The sequence below is a fragment of the Homo sapiens genome, chromosome 6, assembly GCF_000001405.40.
Source record: "Homo sapiens chromosome 6, GRCh38.p14 Primary Assembly".
Taxonomy (NCBI): domain Eukaryota; kingdom Metazoa; phylum Chordata; class Mammalia; order Primates; family Hominidae; genus Homo; species Homo sapiens.
In genome coordinates this window covers 33154791-33172125 of record NC_000006.12, presented here as the reverse complement: position 1 = coordinate 33172125, position 17335 = coordinate 33154791, and the positions used below count along the sequence as shown (strand labels likewise).

The 17335-nt window shown below is 55.1% G+C and overlaps 1 protein-coding gene across 14 annotated transcripts in view, besides 1 other annotated feature; it reads left to right on the top strand.

Annotated features, from left to right (window-relative positions):
• The window catches only part of COL11A2 (collagen type XI alpha 2 chain), a 30826-nt gene extending 21394 nt beyond the window's left edge, over window positions 1-9432 (top strand). For all 14 annotated transcript variants that reach the window (NM_001424111.1, XM_047418183.1, XM_017010250.2 and 11 more), the window contains 26 exons: window positions 23-76; window positions 306-413; window positions 552-659; window positions 802-855; window positions 959-1012; window positions 1209-1316; window positions 1516-1569; window positions 1747-1800; window positions 2026-2079; window positions 2242-2295; window positions 2636-2743; window positions 3118-3171; window positions 3367-3420; window positions 3554-3607; window positions 4274-4327; window positions 4593-4700; window positions 4809-4862; window positions 5003-5056; window positions 5299-5406; window positions 5560-5613; window positions 5920-5955; window positions 6142-6195; window positions 6310-6577; window positions 7162-7274; window positions 7653-7859; window positions 8308-9432. In NM_001424111.1, the coding sequence (NP_001411040.1) occupies window positions 23-76; window positions 306-413; window positions 552-659; window positions 802-855; window positions 959-1012; window positions 1209-1316; window positions 1516-1569; window positions 1747-1800; window positions 2026-2079; window positions 2242-2295; window positions 2636-2743; window positions 3118-3171; window positions 3367-3420; window positions 3554-3607; window positions 4274-4327; window positions 4593-4700; window positions 4809-4862; window positions 5003-5056; window positions 5299-5406; window positions 5560-5613; window positions 5920-5955; window positions 6142-6195; window positions 6310-6577; window positions 7162-7274; window positions 7653-7859; window positions 8308-8448 (2223 nt within the window). In that variant the 3' untranslated portion in view covers window positions 8449-9432. The remainder of the gene's footprint in view (window positions 1-22; window positions 77-305; window positions 414-551; window positions 660-801; window positions 856-958; window positions 1013-1208; window positions 1317-1515; window positions 1570-1746; window positions 1801-2025; window positions 2080-2241; window positions 2296-2635; window positions 2744-3117; window positions 3172-3366; window positions 3421-3553; window positions 3608-4273; window positions 4328-4592; window positions 4701-4808; window positions 4863-5002; window positions 5057-5298; window positions 5407-5559; window positions 5614-5919; window positions 5956-6141; window positions 6196-6309; window positions 6578-7161; window positions 7275-7652; window positions 7860-8307) is intronic.
• Window positions 7725-8226: an enhancer, noted in NCBI's record as "H3K4me1 hESC enhancer chr6:33131677-33132178 (GRCh37/hg19 assembly coordinates)". NCBI's record gives its function as "activates a minimal SCP1, AML or CMV promoter by ChIP-STARR-seq in primed H9 embryonic stem cells {active_cell/tissue: H9 hESC(primed)}" and the evidence as "EXISTENCE:reporter gene assay evidence [ECO:0000049][PMID:30033119]".

Below are 17335 nucleotides of genomic sequence, written 5' to 3'. Positions count from 1 at the left end.
TCCCCAAATGTCTGGTTCATAGGGTGGACCTGGTTTGAAGGGGAATGAAGGTCCGTCTGGCCCCCCTGGCCCTGCAGTGAGTCTGGGGTTCCGGAAGTGGTAGGAAGGACCCGGGAAAGGGGTGGGTGAGGAAGGGTGGGAGTGGCATTCTGATACCACCAGGGGCTGTGGGGCTGGGCAGAGGCTGTCCAGGGACAGCCAGAATGCATCTGATTTTGGGAGCTTTTGGGAATTGTGGTCTGAGGTTCTCTGGTATGGGCGGGCTGGTGTCTCCTTCCTGGGGGTCTGACCATCTGCTTTCTCAGGGCTCCCCTGGGGAACGAGGTGCAGCAGGATCAGGGGGACCCATTGGTCCGCCAGGGCGCCCAGGCCCGCAGGGTCCCCCTGGAGCAGCAGGAGAGAAAGGTGTCCCAGTGAGTGTGGGGGTATTGGGGAGGGGTACTGGGGAGGGGTCTGTGAGCCTAGGGTTGATGGGCTATGACAAGTTTCCTGTGGGGTGTTTGAGGGTGAGGGTCACCTCCAGGCCATGACTCCTTCCTCCTGTCCCACAGGGTGAGAAGGGCCCCATTGGCCCGACTGGCCGAGATGGAGTGCAGGGTCCTGTGGGGCTTCCTGGTCCTGCTGGGCCTCCAGGTGTGGCTGGAGAGGATGGAGACAAGGTGAGGGGACCCCACAGACCCCGACCAATCTTCTTTCCAGATGAGATGGCTGACCTGGGCATGACCCCTGGCCCCTGTCATGTCATCCTTCCCACTCTACCCATCACCTTTCTCTAATATCTTGTCTGCCTTCTCCTCCCAGGGTGAGGTGGGGGACCCCGGACAGAAGGGCACCAAAGGGAACAAGGGTGAACATGTAAGTGTCCATGACCTTGACTTCTGACCTCCTGGCCTTTAACCTCAGTCCCACCTGATCTCTCTCCCTGTTTTGGTGTCTCTGACTCTCTTCTCTTACCCAGGGCCCTCCTGGACCCCCTGGACCCATTGGTCCTGTGGGGCAGCCTGGAGCAGCGGTGAGTGACCCCTCCACCCCCACCGAAGGCCCAGCAGCCTCTGGTCCTCCCTCAGCTCCCCTCTGCCCTTGTGGCTGGGAGTGGGAGCAGGGGCTCTGGGCCTGGCACCCAGCTGTGTGTGGTATTTGTGGATAGAGAACACCTGACCCATGACCCATCCCTGTGTCCTTGTCTCTGCTTTCCCTCAACCCTGCAGGGAGCAGATGGGGAGCCCGGAGCTCGGGGACCCCAGGGACACTTTGGAGCCAAAGGTGATGAAGGAACAAGAGGATTCAATGGGCCCCCAGGACCCATTGGCCTACAGGTGTGTTGGGGGATAGGACAGGGGCTGAGAGGTGGGGTCAGGATGGGGTGATGTTTTGCCCCAGACTCTGCCAGCAGCCTGCCGATGCAGACTGGAGGGCCTGCGGAGTCTGAGGGGAGGGGACTGTGGGGCCTATCTGCCTAGGGCTGTGCTTTGGGTGGGGTCGTCACCTGGGCCCATGTTTTGTATACTTGCACAGGGTTTGCCAGGCCCCTCTGGGGAGAAGGGAGAAACAGGAGATGTGGGTCCTATGGTGAGTGTGACCCCTACTGACCCTAGCCACCATACTAGTCACCCCCCTCCCTGGCCAGCCCCCACCCCACACCCCACTGCCAACTCCCTGGCCTGGCTGCTCCTCCTCCTCTCTCCACCATTCATGCTCAGCCATCTCACTTCCCTTCCTCATCTGTGGTGTATCTGTTTCCCCCAGGGACCACCTGGCCCCCCAGGACCTCGAGGTCCAGCTGGACCCAATGGCGCTGATGTGAGTCATCTCAGCCCCTGTCCCTTGAGACCAATGTGTCTGGTCTTCTGCCTCCCTTTCCCAGACCATAAACTCTAGTATCGTCTCAGGGGCCAAGAGAAGCCCTTACTCCCGGGAGGCCTCCACTGCCTCACTGCTGTAACCTTGGGCTGCTCATCTGGGACTTTGCCCCTGAAATGGCACCTCCATCCTAAGCAATGACACCTATTTCTGTTCCTCTTCCAGGGCCCACAAGGTCCCCCAGGAGGTGTTGGGAACCTGGGTCCCCCTGGAGAGAAGGTAACTGGGAAGGGGGTGAGTGGACCAGTCATGGAAGTGGGGGATGGGAGTTGGATTTCTGCCAATTTTGGGTGGGGAGACAAAAGAGAATGAGATGTGGGGAATATCAGAATTTTTTGGCTGGGGAAGGAGAGGAGGTTTTTGACTCTAATCTCTTTGCAGGGGGAACCAGGAGAGTCAGGATCTCCAGGGATCCAGGGCGAGCCAGGTGTCAAGGTGAGTGACAGCTCCAAGGCCTTACTCCCCAGTCCCCGTCACCCGCCTCAACCCTGCCTCCACTTTTCCTGTGACCTCCTTGAGCTGGAACTCCTCTGCAGCAAGAGTCTCTGCTCCCTGCCATCCTCTATGAGGCCTGATCCCTGGTCTGAGTGAGCCCTTCTTCCCCTTTCTTGAAGGGAAGGGGACTAGGGAACTCCCCTTGTAGGCTTGACTTTCTGTGTATGTCCCATTGTCACTGAGGGGAGTAGGGGATGGCTGAAGGTGTCTCGGAAGCAGAGGCTGCATCCCTGATCTTCAAGATTCCCTGGGCCATCTGTGTCCTCCGCTTGTTCTGCAGGGTCCACGCGGGGAACGTGGAGAGAAAGGAGAGTCGGGGCAGCCAGGAGAGCCAGGGCCACCAGGGCCTAAAGGCCCCACAGGCGATGATGGCCCCAAAGGGAACCCTGTGAGTTTGGGGCAGTGGGGGCTGAGTCCTCTCAGGCCCTGTGAATGACAGACCTGGGAATATGGGTGTGTGTGAGGGAGGATCTTGGAGTGTGGGGAGCCCGGGAGTTTGGGGGATGCTCTGGGAATGGGGCATCCAGAGGGATGCCTGGGGTCTAGGATCCGGAGAGAAAGTGAGAGATGCCCTGCAGTTAATACCTTGAGGAATTAGACAACACGCAGTGCACGTGGTAGGGAAAGGGGTGCAGGAGACCTCTTCCTGGGGGGTACTGGTGGGCACTGCCTCTAGAGAGGCAGTGGCGTGTGCCTGTGGGCGTCTGTGCTGGGTGGGCTTAGGGAGCTGTGACCCTGACTCTTATTCTCCATCTGGATCAGGGTCCTGTTGGTTTTCCTGGTGACCCTGGCCCCCCTGGAGAAGGTGGCCCTCGGGTGAGTCTTACTCAGAGAAGGGAAGGGGCAAAAAGGGTGGGGCTTCTATGGGGGGGTCCTCTGTGTGGCCGCTGGGCTTGGGTATTGGGAAGCCGGGGGTATGGCAGGGTGGGCAAGGGGATGGGGTATTGACAGTTTTGGAGGTGATGCCAGCCAGGTTGGGGGCCCACCTCTGACCTTGCTTCACTTCTGCAGGGCCAGGATGGTGCTAAGGGTGACCGAGGCGAGGATGGTGAGCCAGGACAGCCTGTGAGTGCCTGGTGACCCCACCACCCCCCTGAGCCCAAGCCTCATCCTCTTTACCCCTCTTCTGTGCCCCACTCCTGAGGGGTCCCTTGGCTGGAGGATAAACACTCAGCCACCCCAATTCCTCTCTCCCTAGGGATCCCCTGGTCCCACCGGGGAGAATGGACCCCCAGGGCCACTTGGAAAGCGAGTAAGTGAGGTGGACCCCTGAGACCTTGGGAGGCAGTCCCTGGGCTGTGTGGGTGGAGGCTGGGCAATGGCAGGTGGGATGGGTGGGGAGGTGCCTGGTGTCTGCATTGCCCTGGGTGTGTGTGTGTGCAGGAGCTGGTGGGTTTAAGGGCGTGTGGTATCTCATTGCCCGGGGCAGGGTGTGTGTGCAGGAGCTGGTGGGTTTAAGGGTATGCGGTATCTCATTGCACTGGGCGAGTGTGTGTGCAGGAGCTGGTGGGTTGATGGGTGTGCGGTATCTCGGGCATGTTTGTTCCTGGGTTCTGGTGTGTATGTTTTCACCAGGGGTAGTGGTGGTTACTGACAAAGCAGAATGGAAACTGGAGGAGGGGCTGGCCAGCTTTTCTGTGGGCCAGGGGTGAACCTTTTTAGTTTCTGGGGCAGGAGACGGGCCACCAGGTAGGGTGTGGGCAAGTGGCCCTTCACCAAATGTACAGACTACCCAGTATTTTCACAACTGTCACAGCTGTATCTGTTCTGCACATCTGTGAATCGGCCCTCGGCGCGTGTCCCTGTGTATGCACGTGTGTGTGTGCATGTGTATGTGTGTGTCTAGGACAGGAAGGGGGAAGAGTTGAGCCTGGCTGCCCACGGCCTCATGTGCTCTTCCTTCCCACTCCACCTGCAGGGTCCTGCTGGCTCGCCTGGTTCCGAGGGGCGACAAGGAGGGAAGGGAGCCAAGGTGAGGGACAGGCTGCCCTAGTGCTGGAGCATCCCCTCCGCCTCCCACCCCTCAGATGCCTCCGTCTCCAGATGCCCACCCCATCTCCACCTCTCCCATGTTGGGCCCTTATGGGGACAGGCGTTCCCTGTACTTGTTCCTGCGCTAGGGGCTCCTAGAGTTTGGCCCTTCCTCCCTGCCTCCTGCCTCCCACCTTGGACCCTCTGCCCCCTGCCCACACCCCACTCCTCTGCCATTCAGGACACATTCCTTGTGTGTGTTTCAGGGAGATCCTGGCGCTATAGGTGCCCCGGGGAAGACAGGCCCGGTGGGTCCTGCAGGCCCAGCAGGGAAACCTGGCCCTGATGGTCTGAGGGGGCTCCCAGGCTCAGTGGTGAGTCACTGCAGGGAAGGGCTGGGCTGGGGTGGGAGTGAGGGGCCATGGGAGGGGTGCAGTGTGGGGATGCTCCTCCTGACCCCTGTGGCCCCCTCAAATCTTCAGGGTCAGCAAGGCCGACCTGGAGCTACAGGCCAGGCTGGGCCCCCAGGTCCTGTGGTGAGTGACTGGGATTGGGCTGAGTGAGGGGTGAGGGCAGTGCCCTGGGACAGAGCTGAAGCCCTGGAGGAAGTGGAGGCTGTTGGGGAGAACTTGGTCCCACCTCTCCCTTAAGAGAATGACTTCCCATCTCTCCACAGGGACCCCCAGGGCTGCCTGGTCTCCGGGGCGATGCTGGAGCCAAGGGAGAGAAGGTGAGTGACAGACAGACACGTGGCCAGGTGTCTCTCCCATCACCCTCGCCCCTGAAACCTGTGGGACCCAAGTGCCCACTGCTCTGCTTCAGGCCTCCGGCAGCCAGTCCCAGGGAGTCCCTGCTCAGTGAGGGCCACTCACGGACCCTGTGCCCGGCTCCCTCTCCATGTCCTCTTGGCCCTTCTCCCCCATCCACATGACTCCTCTTTGCATTCTCTTGACTGCCTGCACCCTTCTCTAGGGCCACCCAGGTCTCATTGGACTGATTGGGCCCCCGGGTGAGCAGGGAGAGAAGGGAGATCGGGGACTTCCTGGGCCTCAGGGCTCCCCTGGGCAGAAGGGTGAGATGGTGAGTAGAGGGCATGGTCCCGGAAGTTGTGGGGGTTGAGAGTGGGGTGGAGAGGGGTGGAGTTGGAGTTGGGACTCAGCTGTGGGTAAGCGAGCAGGTGCTCAGGAGGGTGTGGGAGGAGGACCCAGTTGAACCAGCCACTACCCTTCCTAGGGTATCCCAGGAGCATCCGGCCCCATTGGTCCTGGAGGTCCCCCCGGCCTCCCCGTGAGTACTGCCTCTGTTCCTCCACAAAATCCCCTAAACCCCTCTGCTGCCCACCCACAGCCTCCCAACGACTTCCATGGAACTACCAGCCTAACAAGCATAGTCCTCAGGGTCCCCCATTTGTCCTGTCACCACCAGTACCTCCTCCCCATACTTCCAGGGCTCTGAATGTCCTAGTATTCCCACAAGACTGCCCCTCCTGTAGTAACCCGAGGCTCCTGTGGACTTGGGACCTTGCCTCCCCGCTCCTCTGAGTCCTGTCCTTCCCCTGCAGTGACCGTCTCTTTCTTGTTCCTCATTTCACAGGGACCTGCTGGCCCCAAAGGAGCCAAAGGAGCCACAGTGAGTGACCCCCTTCAGCTCTGACCTTTGCTCCACCCCCTCTGGACTTGATGATGTCTCTCCAGGACAAATAGACTCCCCCCAAGGAGCCCCTTATTCCAGCCAGGAGGCTGATTTGATCTTTCTGTGACCTTGATCCATGCTTGACCTCTTGACCCCTCCATGACCTGATTTATTCCTTGTCAGGGCCCAGGCGGACCCAAGGGAGAGAAGGGTGTGCAGGGCCCTCCAGGACACCCGGTGAGTGAGGAGTCAGGGCTGCTCCCAGGGCCGTACCCCTCTGCTCCACTGCTGCCACACTTCACCCTCACACCAACCTTGTCTCTTGCCCTCTCCATCTGTCCCTGCACCCAGGGTCCCCCAGGCGAGGTGATCCAGCCACTGCCCATTCAGATGCCCAAGAAGACTCGGCGCTCGGTGGATGGAAGCCGTCTGATGCAGGAAGATGAGGCCATACCGACCGGGGGAGCCCCCGGCAGTCCTGGGGGGCTGGAGGAGATCTTTGGCTCACTCGACTCCCTGCGGGAGGAGATCGAGCAGATGAGGCGGCCAACAGGGACCCAGGACAGCCCTGCTCGCACCTGCCAGGACCTGAAGCTGTGCCACCCAGAGCTTCCCGATGGTCAGTGCTAGCCTCAGGGTGCACAAACATCTCCCCAACAGCATGGGTACTGAACAAGCAGAATGGATGCTGGGGGAGTCTTGGTGAAGGTGTTGGGTTAAGGGTGAGGGCTGAGGGGCTGGGAACTGCAGCTATTTACTAACCAGGTCAGAAGTATCCCAATACTTTAGCAACTGATCTGGGTCAGTGTGTACCAGTTGGTTATCAGCCCAGTGTCTGCAGGAGCAGATAAACATACATACGTGCACACACCTGTTTGCACCTGAACAGATGAATCTGTGTGAGCGCCTGCAACCACATGTTGTCCCAGTATGAGGCTGTCCATACTCGGACCTCCTCCAGTCAGAGGGCCTGGGGTTACTGTTGGGGGCAGAGGTGTCACGTGATGAAAGTGGGCTGCAGCAGTAGGATGCTGCAGTAGAATCCAGCAGTAGGGCTAGATTCTAGGGCTCTGGGAGGGAGGAGGACCAGGAGACTAAGAGCATGATGGGGAGGGCTGGGAGGGAAGAGGGAATGTGGGGGCAAAGAGCATCTTGGAGCCTGGACCTAGGTGGCCCTGACCTCCCCTCTCCCTCACCCAACAGGAGAGTACTGGGTCGACCCCAACCAGGGCTGTGCTCGGGATGCCTTCCGAGTTTTCTGCAACTTCACAGCAGGGGGTGAGACCTGTGTGACGCCTAGGGATGACGTCACGCAGGTGAGAGCTGGCCCCTCGCTGCCCCTCCCCTGCCCCATAGTGCACCCCCTCAGGGCTTAGTGGTTTCTGGGTTTTGGTGACAGTCCCCTGGCTGTTGCCCCCCCCGGAGCCTGCCACCCCTTCTCCACTTCTTAGCTCTTTCTTCTTTTCCTTTTCACCGGTCCTCTGATGCTCACTTTGCCTTTCGTGTACCCCCAGTCTCCTGGCTCCCACTCAGCCCCTCACTTCTTTCCCAGCCCTTGCCTTCCAGCCATTCCCTGCTCATGACTCTGGCTCAGCTGTCCTGGTGCCGTAGATGCTCCTGAGGCCCGTCTCTGTCTCCCTCTGAGGCCAGCCCTCTCTCTCCCCCTCTGAGGCCAGCCCTCTCTCTCCTTCCAGTTCTCTTACGTGGACTCAGAGGGCTCCCCAGTGGGTGTGGTCCAGCTCACCTTCCTGCGGCTGCTCAGCGTCTCAGCCCACCAGGACGTCTCCTACCCCTGCTCTGGAGCAGCCCGTGACGGTCCCCTGAGACTCCGTGGGGCCAATGAGGATGAGCTGAGCCCGGAGACTAGCCCCTATGTCAAAGAATTCAGAGATGGCTGCCAGGTGGGAACAGGAAGAGCTGGGTTGGGGGCTGATCTCAGACTCAGGCTGGAGGAAGGAGGTGGGAAGACCCCTTGGGCAGGGCACCCAGGGGGAGCAGGGAGGAGTCCGTCCTGCTGGATTGTCAGGGATGCCTGAGGGAGCTCAAAAGCCGGTGAGGAAGGTGGAAAGGATGGAAGCCATCGGGTGAGGTTCACTTGGGTACAAACACCAGCGTCACACAGGTTAATGCAGACGTGTACACAGACTGGCACATGGCTGCCCAGCAGAGGCACACGGTGGGGGAGAAGCAAACACACACGCATGGGCACATAGACACTGCCAGTCTGTACATCCTGAGTCACCCTGATGGGGCCAAGGTGCTCAGAGGAGAGGTGAGCCTGGGCCTGAGGTTAGAGGGTGGGGGGTGCCTCCATCCTGCTCACACTTTCTTCCTTGTCTCCCCCTGAAGACACAGCAAGGCCGGACGGTGCTGGAGGTGCGAACGCCTGTGCTGGAGCAGCTGCCAGTGCTGGATGCCTCCTTCTCAGACCTGGGAGCCCCACCGAGGCGGGGAGGGGTGCTGCTGGGGCCTGTCTGCTTCATGGGATAGGACCGTCTCTGTCTGATCCTGTCCATTCGGAACCAGGCCCACCTGGAATCCCACAACATCAGCTCTGTGCCACCTCCCAAGAGGGCTCCTCACTATCTAGGGAGCCCTGGGCCAGGGCGTGGAGAGCCCTCAGTCGGGGCAGGCCAGGGGAGGGGTGAAGTGGTTGCCTGGACACCCCACGGGAGGAGTGGCATCTGGGGCTCTTGGCCCTCCCACCTGGAGCCTGTTACCCGTTAGAGAGCTGAGACCCTTATTTAAAACTCACCTCCCAATCACCCCAAACAAATGGAAGAGAAGAGAAAGGACATGGCGTATTTTGTATTTAAAAGTAATTGTATTAATTATTTAAAGTGTGGAAAGCAAAATAACAAAAAAGAGAAACGCCAACAAAAATCAGCAGATGTTGAAGACAGGGGTCTCGGGGGTGGGCTCCGGCACCCACATCCTGGAGTCAGGACTTTCCTCAGTGACTGTGTGTAGGGGGGTTTCAGGGCTGAACCCCACCTCCCTCCCACCTTCCTCCCACCTCACCTGTCGCACCCACTGTGAAAGTTGGAATATGTGGTCTCCCTGGCCTCAGGGCTCTGACTCTGCCAGGGTGGGGCTCTCTAACCCACAGGTGTTGGCTGCCTGGCCCATGTGCCCACTGTCTCTTCCACTTGGTCTGGGTTTGGCAGGCACTGCCTGCTACTTGAGGGCCAGGATGCTCCCCCAGGGAAGAAACGGAATAGTGTGGGGTGTGTGCAGGGCTGCATCCCGCAGATGGCTGGAATATTAAAATTCTTCTATATTGGCTGGTAAATTGCCATGGCCCTGAGCCACTGAGTATGTTCATTGCCACCCCTGTCCCTCCCCTGGGCACCCCTCACTTTCCCTGATCCTGCAATTAAAGGGTTAATGTGTGGCATATGGAAGGGACTCCCAGGACCCTGTGCCCAGCTTCCATGCTGACTGATGGTTAAATAATGTGATTGTCTCCTCCCAGGTGTCTGTGTCACTGCTTGTGTTGTTATTTCAGTCTCCCCCGACACCCATCTGATGCTTCCTCTTCCCAGCTAAGTGGTTACCAGAATTGTATGGCTTAATCCAGATACCCTGCAAGCCCTGTCCAGCTGGGGTGTCAGGGCCCAGAGTTTACAAAGCCTGGGTGACTAGCATAAAATTACAAACAATGCCCCAGGGACACCAGGTAGGGGTTTGGGGTCCCTATGGCTCCAGTTTCTGACACGGGTGTGCGATTGCTTCTGGGTGTGGGTGGGACGGTGCTACATAGCCCAGTCTAATCTCTGTAAATGGGGAGGCTGAGGCCCACTTCCAAGACATTTACTGCATCTGTACCTCTGGTCACCTTATCCCTCCCCATCAGCCTTGTGCTGTGCTGTCATGAAGACAGGGCTGTGGCCAAGCCCTCCACACTCACGTGTAGTCACGTGCATACTCGTTGAGTCTTTGTGTTGGGTGGAGTCGCACAGTCCCTGCCTGTGTCCCCCCACTCTTGACTGTCCCCCACTTCCCTAGCCTCCCTCTCCTGGGCACTCAGAAGCTCTGCTCCCTCCGGGTTAGGTGTCCAAGAAGTCCTCTCTTCCAAGGCTGGCCGCGCAGCCGGGACCCCCTAGCTGGTGCCCATGGGGCTTCACATTCCCAAGCAGTATTGCCTGGCTCCTGCCTGTCAGGGCGCTGCATTAAAACGTGTTCCAGGGCCTCATCCCAATTTCCTCTTCCTCAACCCTCTTCCTCGCGGGCGCCAGAATCAAGAGTGCGTGCCTTTGTGTCCCGGTTTCGCATCCGCGGCCTCGGGGCGGGCCTGGCAGGGCTGCCCTTCACCCCGAGCCCGAGCCCGGGTAGGCTGCGCCCCCGCCCCTCCTCCCCGTACTTCTTCCTCCCAGCGTGTCCCCGACAGCATCGGCTTGGCCGTCCCGGTCCCAACCCATTCTCGATCGCAGGAAGCCCCACGTGGGCGTCTAGACGGCCACTCTGGCCCGGGCGGGTGCGCGGAAAAACTTCTCGAGGGTGGAAGCCTCTCCTCGGCGCTGGCGCCTCCGCCTCTGCCGCCCCCTAGTGCCCGCGCTGAGAACGCGGCCCCGCACCGGGTCAGCTGAATAATCCCGGTCCCTCAGACGCCTCTCCCTTGTCACCCGCTGAACCCCCTGACCCCGAAGGCCGAATGGAGGAAGAAGCCCCTGATCTCATCTGTCAGGGGTCCGGTGGTGGATAGGTTTTCTGGGATCACCCATGCTCTCCATCTCAATATCCAAGGCCCAGGGGCTTCAGACACCCCCTTCCCTCCCTCTCAGGGTCACATTAAGAGAAGATCAGATCTAAATAGGTGCCCCCCATCTGTTTCTCCCGCACCCACTCCCAGCCTAGCCGGGCTGGAGTTGAGATTTCTTTGGCGCTCTTTCTGCAGCTGGAGCCAAACCCGCAGAGGTCGCCCCCCGAACAGCAAGAGGACTTTCCCAAAGGTCACGTTTGGTCAGATGCTCTGAGTTCCGAGGGCTTTTCTGCATGGAAACAATGCTGTACAGTCACTCGAATAACATTTATATACGGCGGCTAAGTCCCCAGGCCAATCCACAAAAGCCTATTTAATTACACAGTGCTGCCAACCAACCCCATCTAACAGTTTCACGAGGGAGTCTGTGCCAAGTTGCTGTTGAGGAGGCCAGGCCCACAGCCTTCTCTTGGCAGCTAACTTCTTCCTCCCCTCCAGAAAGCTAGAGCCAGGCTCTAAGGAAGGGTGGGAGGGGTTTAAGGGCAGGGCTGTAGAGGCGGGGTTTTGGGGTGGGGCTGGGTGTGAACAGGGCAAGTGCCCAGGCCTCTGGGCCTGTGGGTAGTGGCAGTGTCTCCATTGGCTGGTGGGCAATGGAGGCTTCTGGGTGGGGTGGGAGGAGATAGGGAAGAGAAAGGCAGAGGCTTTAGGGAACTACTTTGGGTTTGATTGGGGCAGAACATAAACTCTTGTTGGAGGGGCCAAATTCTGAAAAGTATTGACTGCTTATGGAAGGAGTTGAACTTGAACCCAAAAACTAAGAGTCATAGATGGTGTTTGAAAAGGCAAGTGATATGATGGAATTGTGCGCTGGCATGGTGGCGAAGGAGAGGAGGGTTTGGGATGGGGCGCACAGGGAGATCATGTTTTTTTTTGTTTTTTGAGACAGAGTCTCGCTCTGTCGCCCAGGCTGGAGTACAGTGGCGCCATCTCGGCTCACTGCAGCCCCTGCCTCCCAGGTTCAAGCAATTCTCCTGCCTCAGCCTCCCGGATAGCTGGGACTACAGGTGTGCACTGCCACGCCTGGCTAATTTTTGTATTTTTAATAGAGACGGGGTTTCCTCACGTTGGCCAGTATGGTCTTGATCTCTTGACCTCATGATCCTCCCGCCTCGGTCTCCCAACTGCTGGGGTTACAGGCGTGAGCCACCGCGTGGGAGATCATGTATAGAGGGAGGGCTGTGGGGTGGGTCCTCTGGCCTGTCACACCCTTGGAGCTGCTTTTCAGCTTTGGGCTTATATTTTTAGCATCTGTAACTTATGGTTAAAAAATAACTTGTGAAATAAAATAAAAATAACTTACAGACCACTTATATCACTGTACCTGGGAGCACCACATATCCTAGAAGGCCATGGGCTACACAGAGCTGTTCTTGCCCTCCCTTGGCTGTCTTGCATGCTGAGGTTTGTAGTTTTGAATGGACCAGGGCAGGTGGGGGTGGAGATGAGACAGAGGAGGGAGTGAGTCAAAACAAGGCTCTCAGCCTGGGCAACAAAGCAAAACTCCTTCTCTCTCTCTCTTTCTCTCTTTCTTTGAGACAGGGTCTCTGTCACTCAGGCTGGAGTGGAGTGGCAAGATCAAGGTTCACTGCAGCCTCGACCTCCGTGGGTTCCAGCCATCCTCCCACCTCAGCCTCCCGAGTAGCTGGGTCTCCAGGCATGTACCACTAGTTTTTGTATTTTTTGTAGAGATGGGATTTTGCCCTGTTTCCCAGGCTGGTCTAGAACTCCTGGGCTCAAGAGATCTGCCCATCTCGGCCTCCCAAAGTGCTGAGATTACAGGTATGAGCCATCACGCACGGCCCTTTTTCTCTACAAAAAAATAATTTAAAAATTAGCTGGGCATGGTGGCATGTGCCTGTAGTTGCAGCTACTCAGGAGACTCAGGCAGGAGGTTCACTTGAGCCCAGGAGTTTGAGGTTGCAGTGAGCTATGCTCTTGCCACTGCACTCCAGCCTGGGTGACAGAGAGATACCCCATCACAAACAGACAAACAAACAAACAAAGGGCTCCAGCTGCCTCAGAAATAAGTTTCTGTGTAGTAGCTGGTGGCCACCTTGTTTTGTGGTTGTTTAGCCCATTTTCCTGCAAGTGTGGTGTGGTCAGCAGGGAGCATCAGGGCCACACTGGAGCTTCTTTCTGTCGAGCTGTGCAGTTCACAGACTGTACATGTGTAGGCCATAGCTATGTTTCTCAACTCAAACCTAGAGTAAGCAGAAGTCACCTTAAGTGCTTATAACTGGCCTTCTGTTATCTTTTCTTTCATCTTCAGAGTAGTTTCATGGGAACTGGCACTGACAGCAGACTGCCATCTCAGTAGGGAAGACCTGTCCTGCTAGTCCTTGAATAAAGACCAAGGATATCTACATGGGCTTCTCCTTTAGGGCTCTCCCCACACGGCCAGGATGGTAGAATGAACACAGCTCTCAGCTTCAGCGAGAGCCAGCATATCACCCTGTCTGGCTTTCCCTCAGTTGGCAGGAGCAGGTCAATCCATTTTGTGTACTTCGCTCTGGCCTCTCTTTTTTTGTTTGTTTTTTGTTTTTGAGATAGGGTCTCACTCCCCTTGCCTAGGCTAGCATGCAGTGGTGCAATCATGGCTCACTATAGGCTTGACTTCTTATGCTCAGGTGATTCTTCCCCCTCAGCCTCCTGAGTAGCTGGGACTACAGGCGAGTGCCACCATGCCCAGCTAATTTTTTGTATTTTTAGTAGAGACGTGGTTTCTCCATGTTGCCGAGGCTGGTCTCAAACTCCTGGGCTCAAGAGATCCCCCTGCCTCAGCCTCCTAAAGTGCTGGGATTATCTGGCCTCTCTTTTTTTTTTTTGAGATGGAGTCTCGCTGTGTCGCCCAGGCTGGAGTGCAGTGGCACAATCTCGGCTCACTGCAACCTCCGCCTCCCGGGTTCAAGCGATTCTCCTGCCTCAGATTCCTGAGAAGCTGGGACTACAGGTGCCCGCCACCACGCCCGGCTATTTTTTTTTATTTTTAGTAGAGACGGGGTTTCACCGTGTTAGCCAGGATGGTTTCGATCTCCTGACCTCGTGATCCACCCGCCTCGGCCTCCCAAAGTGCTGGGATTACAGGCGTAAGCCACCGCGCCTGGCCTATCTGGCCTCTCTTTCTATTAAAAACGCCTTACTCTAGGTTGAAGGACTTTTGGTTCCTGAGGCATGGATGATTTCCCAAAGTACAACAGATAAAAGCCACACTGGCTGTACAGCAGCTCATGTAAAGGTCATGTTCCAGGTCTTGGCCACTTCACCTATAACAGGCTTGGACTCCGGCAGAGCCTCAGGCCAAAGAATGTGGGTCATAGAGATATCTTCCTCATTGTGTTCACATCTCCCCCGGGCCTGGGCTATATTGTTGGGTCAGGTAATCGGCCTGCTCTCCTCATGAAATAAGGCATACTGGTATTACTAATGCTGGGAGAGATTTCTTATAATTCCATCCCTTCCCAGTTGTGGTTATTTGTATTAATACCTGCAGGTTTTCCTTACTTTTAGAACTGCAAATCTATAGAAACAAACAAACCCCAAACCCAACAAACATGTTTCAGAGACATTAGGGTTAGGGAGAAGATGAGAAATAGCACCCTGTTTGATTGGGGCCCTGGGGAGAGAGGGACTCAGACAAAAGAGTTTGAGTGGCAGGTGGTCTAGTTTTGGGTGGGTTGAGCAGACTTAGGGCCAAAGGTGGCACTGATTCTAGCTGGCAGCGGGCCTCTCTGTATTTCCAACTGAGAGTTCTCCTTCCCTTAGCTTGTCAGGGATGCTTTGCTTCTGAGTTGCACACTTAACCTCAGCATCAGTTTCTTCACCTGCAAAGTGGGATAATACTTGCTCTGTAAAGGAATAATTCCCCCTTTACTGACAGCCTTTGCAATGGAAAGTGAGGGGAGGGACCTGACAAGCTGTCTTGGTTCCATCTCCATGTCTTGGTTATTGCTGACACACGGGTGTCTGGGGCATGCTGCTGTCCCTTTTCCACTTTTGATTTTAGTGCTGTTAAAACTCTATACTTACTATTATTATTTTCTTGTTACAAATCGCAAAATCTGATTCAGAATAGCTTAAGCTCCAAAAGGAATTGATTGTAAAAATATTGGGTTTCTCAGGATTTGAAGACAGAGTTGACTCAATAGGGAAGACTGAGAGCAGTTCTGGGAACCTCAGGGGCTCATGGACTTTGTCCCTGGAGTGTGGATACTCACCGCTCAGCAGAGCTGCTCTTGACCTCTGTGTCTCTGGGCCCCATGGTTCAAAGTCATGGAGAGACAATCTGATTGGCTTAGCTTGGGTTATCTCTGTCCCTGAGAACCAATTTTCTGTGGCTGAGGGCCCAGTGTACCAACCAAGAGGTATGTAGGATGCCTTTTGGTGGAGGTGGAGGGGTGTTGGGGGCACTGTTTCCAGATAATGTGGGATCCTGAGGCCCCCAGGAGGTGTCCGCTTGCTTTCCCTTCTTCGCTTCTGTCTAAACAGACTCCTTTGTATGCATTTGACCAGCGTGATACAACCAGCCCCTTCATGATCACATTTGCTCTCCCTGCCACCCAATCTCCTGGATGGGCAACCCAAAGTCACATTCAGCAGCTGTGGCCATGACCTCTCTAACCTCAGAGGCCGACATCTCTGCCAGTTCATATTTTGCCACTTTGTGATTCAGCACATAAACTTTCATGGCCGTTATATCCAGGGCTGCATTGTGACTTCTGCGGGCCCTATGCACTTTTCTAAACAATAAATTTGAAATCATACTTATGATTGTGTTGATACACAGGCAACTATATTAATATTATATATTAAAATATTTTCTTCAACCTTAATTTTTTTTCTATTTTAAAAGAAATGTAAACATTGCCATGGGAGTATTGTGGGCCCTAGGCACTGTGGCTACTGTACATAATGGATCCATGGGCCCTCCTTGTGTCTTTGTTAAAGATTTTACTGGTTTACTCTTAAAATGTAATCACAATTCTGTTACCACAATTTTAATAATCATTCCTGTTGTCATCAAATATCCAGTCAGTGTTCAGATTTCCAAGATTGTTTTGTAGGTTTTGTGTGTGTGTGTGTGTGTGTGTGTGTTTGACTCATGATCCAAATAAAGCTGATGGTCTTCTAATTCTTTAAAGATCTACATTTTCCGTAATTTATTTAAAGTCCTTTTTGTTTACTTTTATTATGGACAAATTTAAGCATATACAAAAGTGGTTTATTATTGCTTTTTTTTTTTTTGAGATGGTCTTGCTCTGTCGCCCAGGCTGGAGCACAGTGGCACGATCTCAACTCACTGCAGCAACATCCGCTTCCCAGGCTCAAGCGATGCTCCAGCCTCAGCCTCCCAAGTAGCTGGGACTACAGGCGCCAGCCACCATGCCCGGCTAATTTTTGTATTTTTTGTAGAGACAGGGTTTTGCCATCTTGTCCAGGCTGGTCTCCAACTCCTGAGCTCAAGCAATCTGCTCATCTTGGCCTCCCAAAGTGTTGGAATTACAGGTGTGACCCACTGAGCCTTGCCTGTTATTGCTATCTTAAAAAGAATTAATACATGTTAAAAATCTTTTTCAGTTCTAATTTTGAATACAGTAAATATCAATAACAATATTGTAAGTAAAGCTTTTCAGTGTTTTCAGTAATTTAAGGGGTTTATACTCTTAAAACATTGAGAGATTTTTTTCAAATTGAGATTTAAAAAAATTGGGAATCACTAATCTAGAAGAACTGTTAAAAATAGTCATGCCCACCTGTGCTCACCCTTAGAGATCTGGATTCAACCCATTTGGGGCGTGAGCAAAGGGACTTGTGTAAAATTTCCCCAGGCAATTCCAAAGTGCAGGCTGTGTTGAGAACCTCTGCTCTAAACTGGAGAGATCCCGTAAGAAATAAGCAGCCAGGTGCAGTGGCTCATGCCTGTAATCCCAGCACTTTGGGGGACCAAGGCAGGTGGATCACTTGAGGTCAGGAGTTCGAGATCAGCCTGTTCAACATGGTGTAACCTTGTCTCTACTAAAAATACAAAAAATTCGCCAGGTGTGGTGGCACGTGTCTGTAATCCCAGCTACTGGGGAGGCTGAGGCAGGAGAATCACTTGAACCAGGGAAGCAGAGGTTGCAGTGAACCGAGATCATGCCACTGCACTCCAGTCTGGTAGACAGAATGAGACCCTGTCTCAAAAAAAAAAGAAAAGAAAAGAAAAGAAAAAAAAGGAAATAAGCAAAGATGGCCGGGTGTGGTGCCTCACACCTGTAATACCAGCACTTTGAGAGGCTGAGGCGGGCGGATCACCTGAGGTTAGGAGTTCGAGACCAGCCTGACCAACATGGAGAAGCCCCATCTCTACTAAAAATACAAAATTAGTCGGGCATGGTGGCACATGCCTGTAATCCCAGCTACTTAGGAGGCTGAGGCAGGAGAATCGCTTGAACTTGGGAGGCAGAGGTTGCGGTGAGCCAAGATCACGGCATTGCACTCCAGCCTGGGCAACAAGAGTGAAACTCTGTCAAAAAAAAAAAAAAAAAAAAAAAAAAAAAAGAAATAAGCAAAGGCACAGAGTGGGAAAGGCAACCAAATGCCCTAGGTCTGAAAGGGCCTCCTGGGACCTGCTGCATC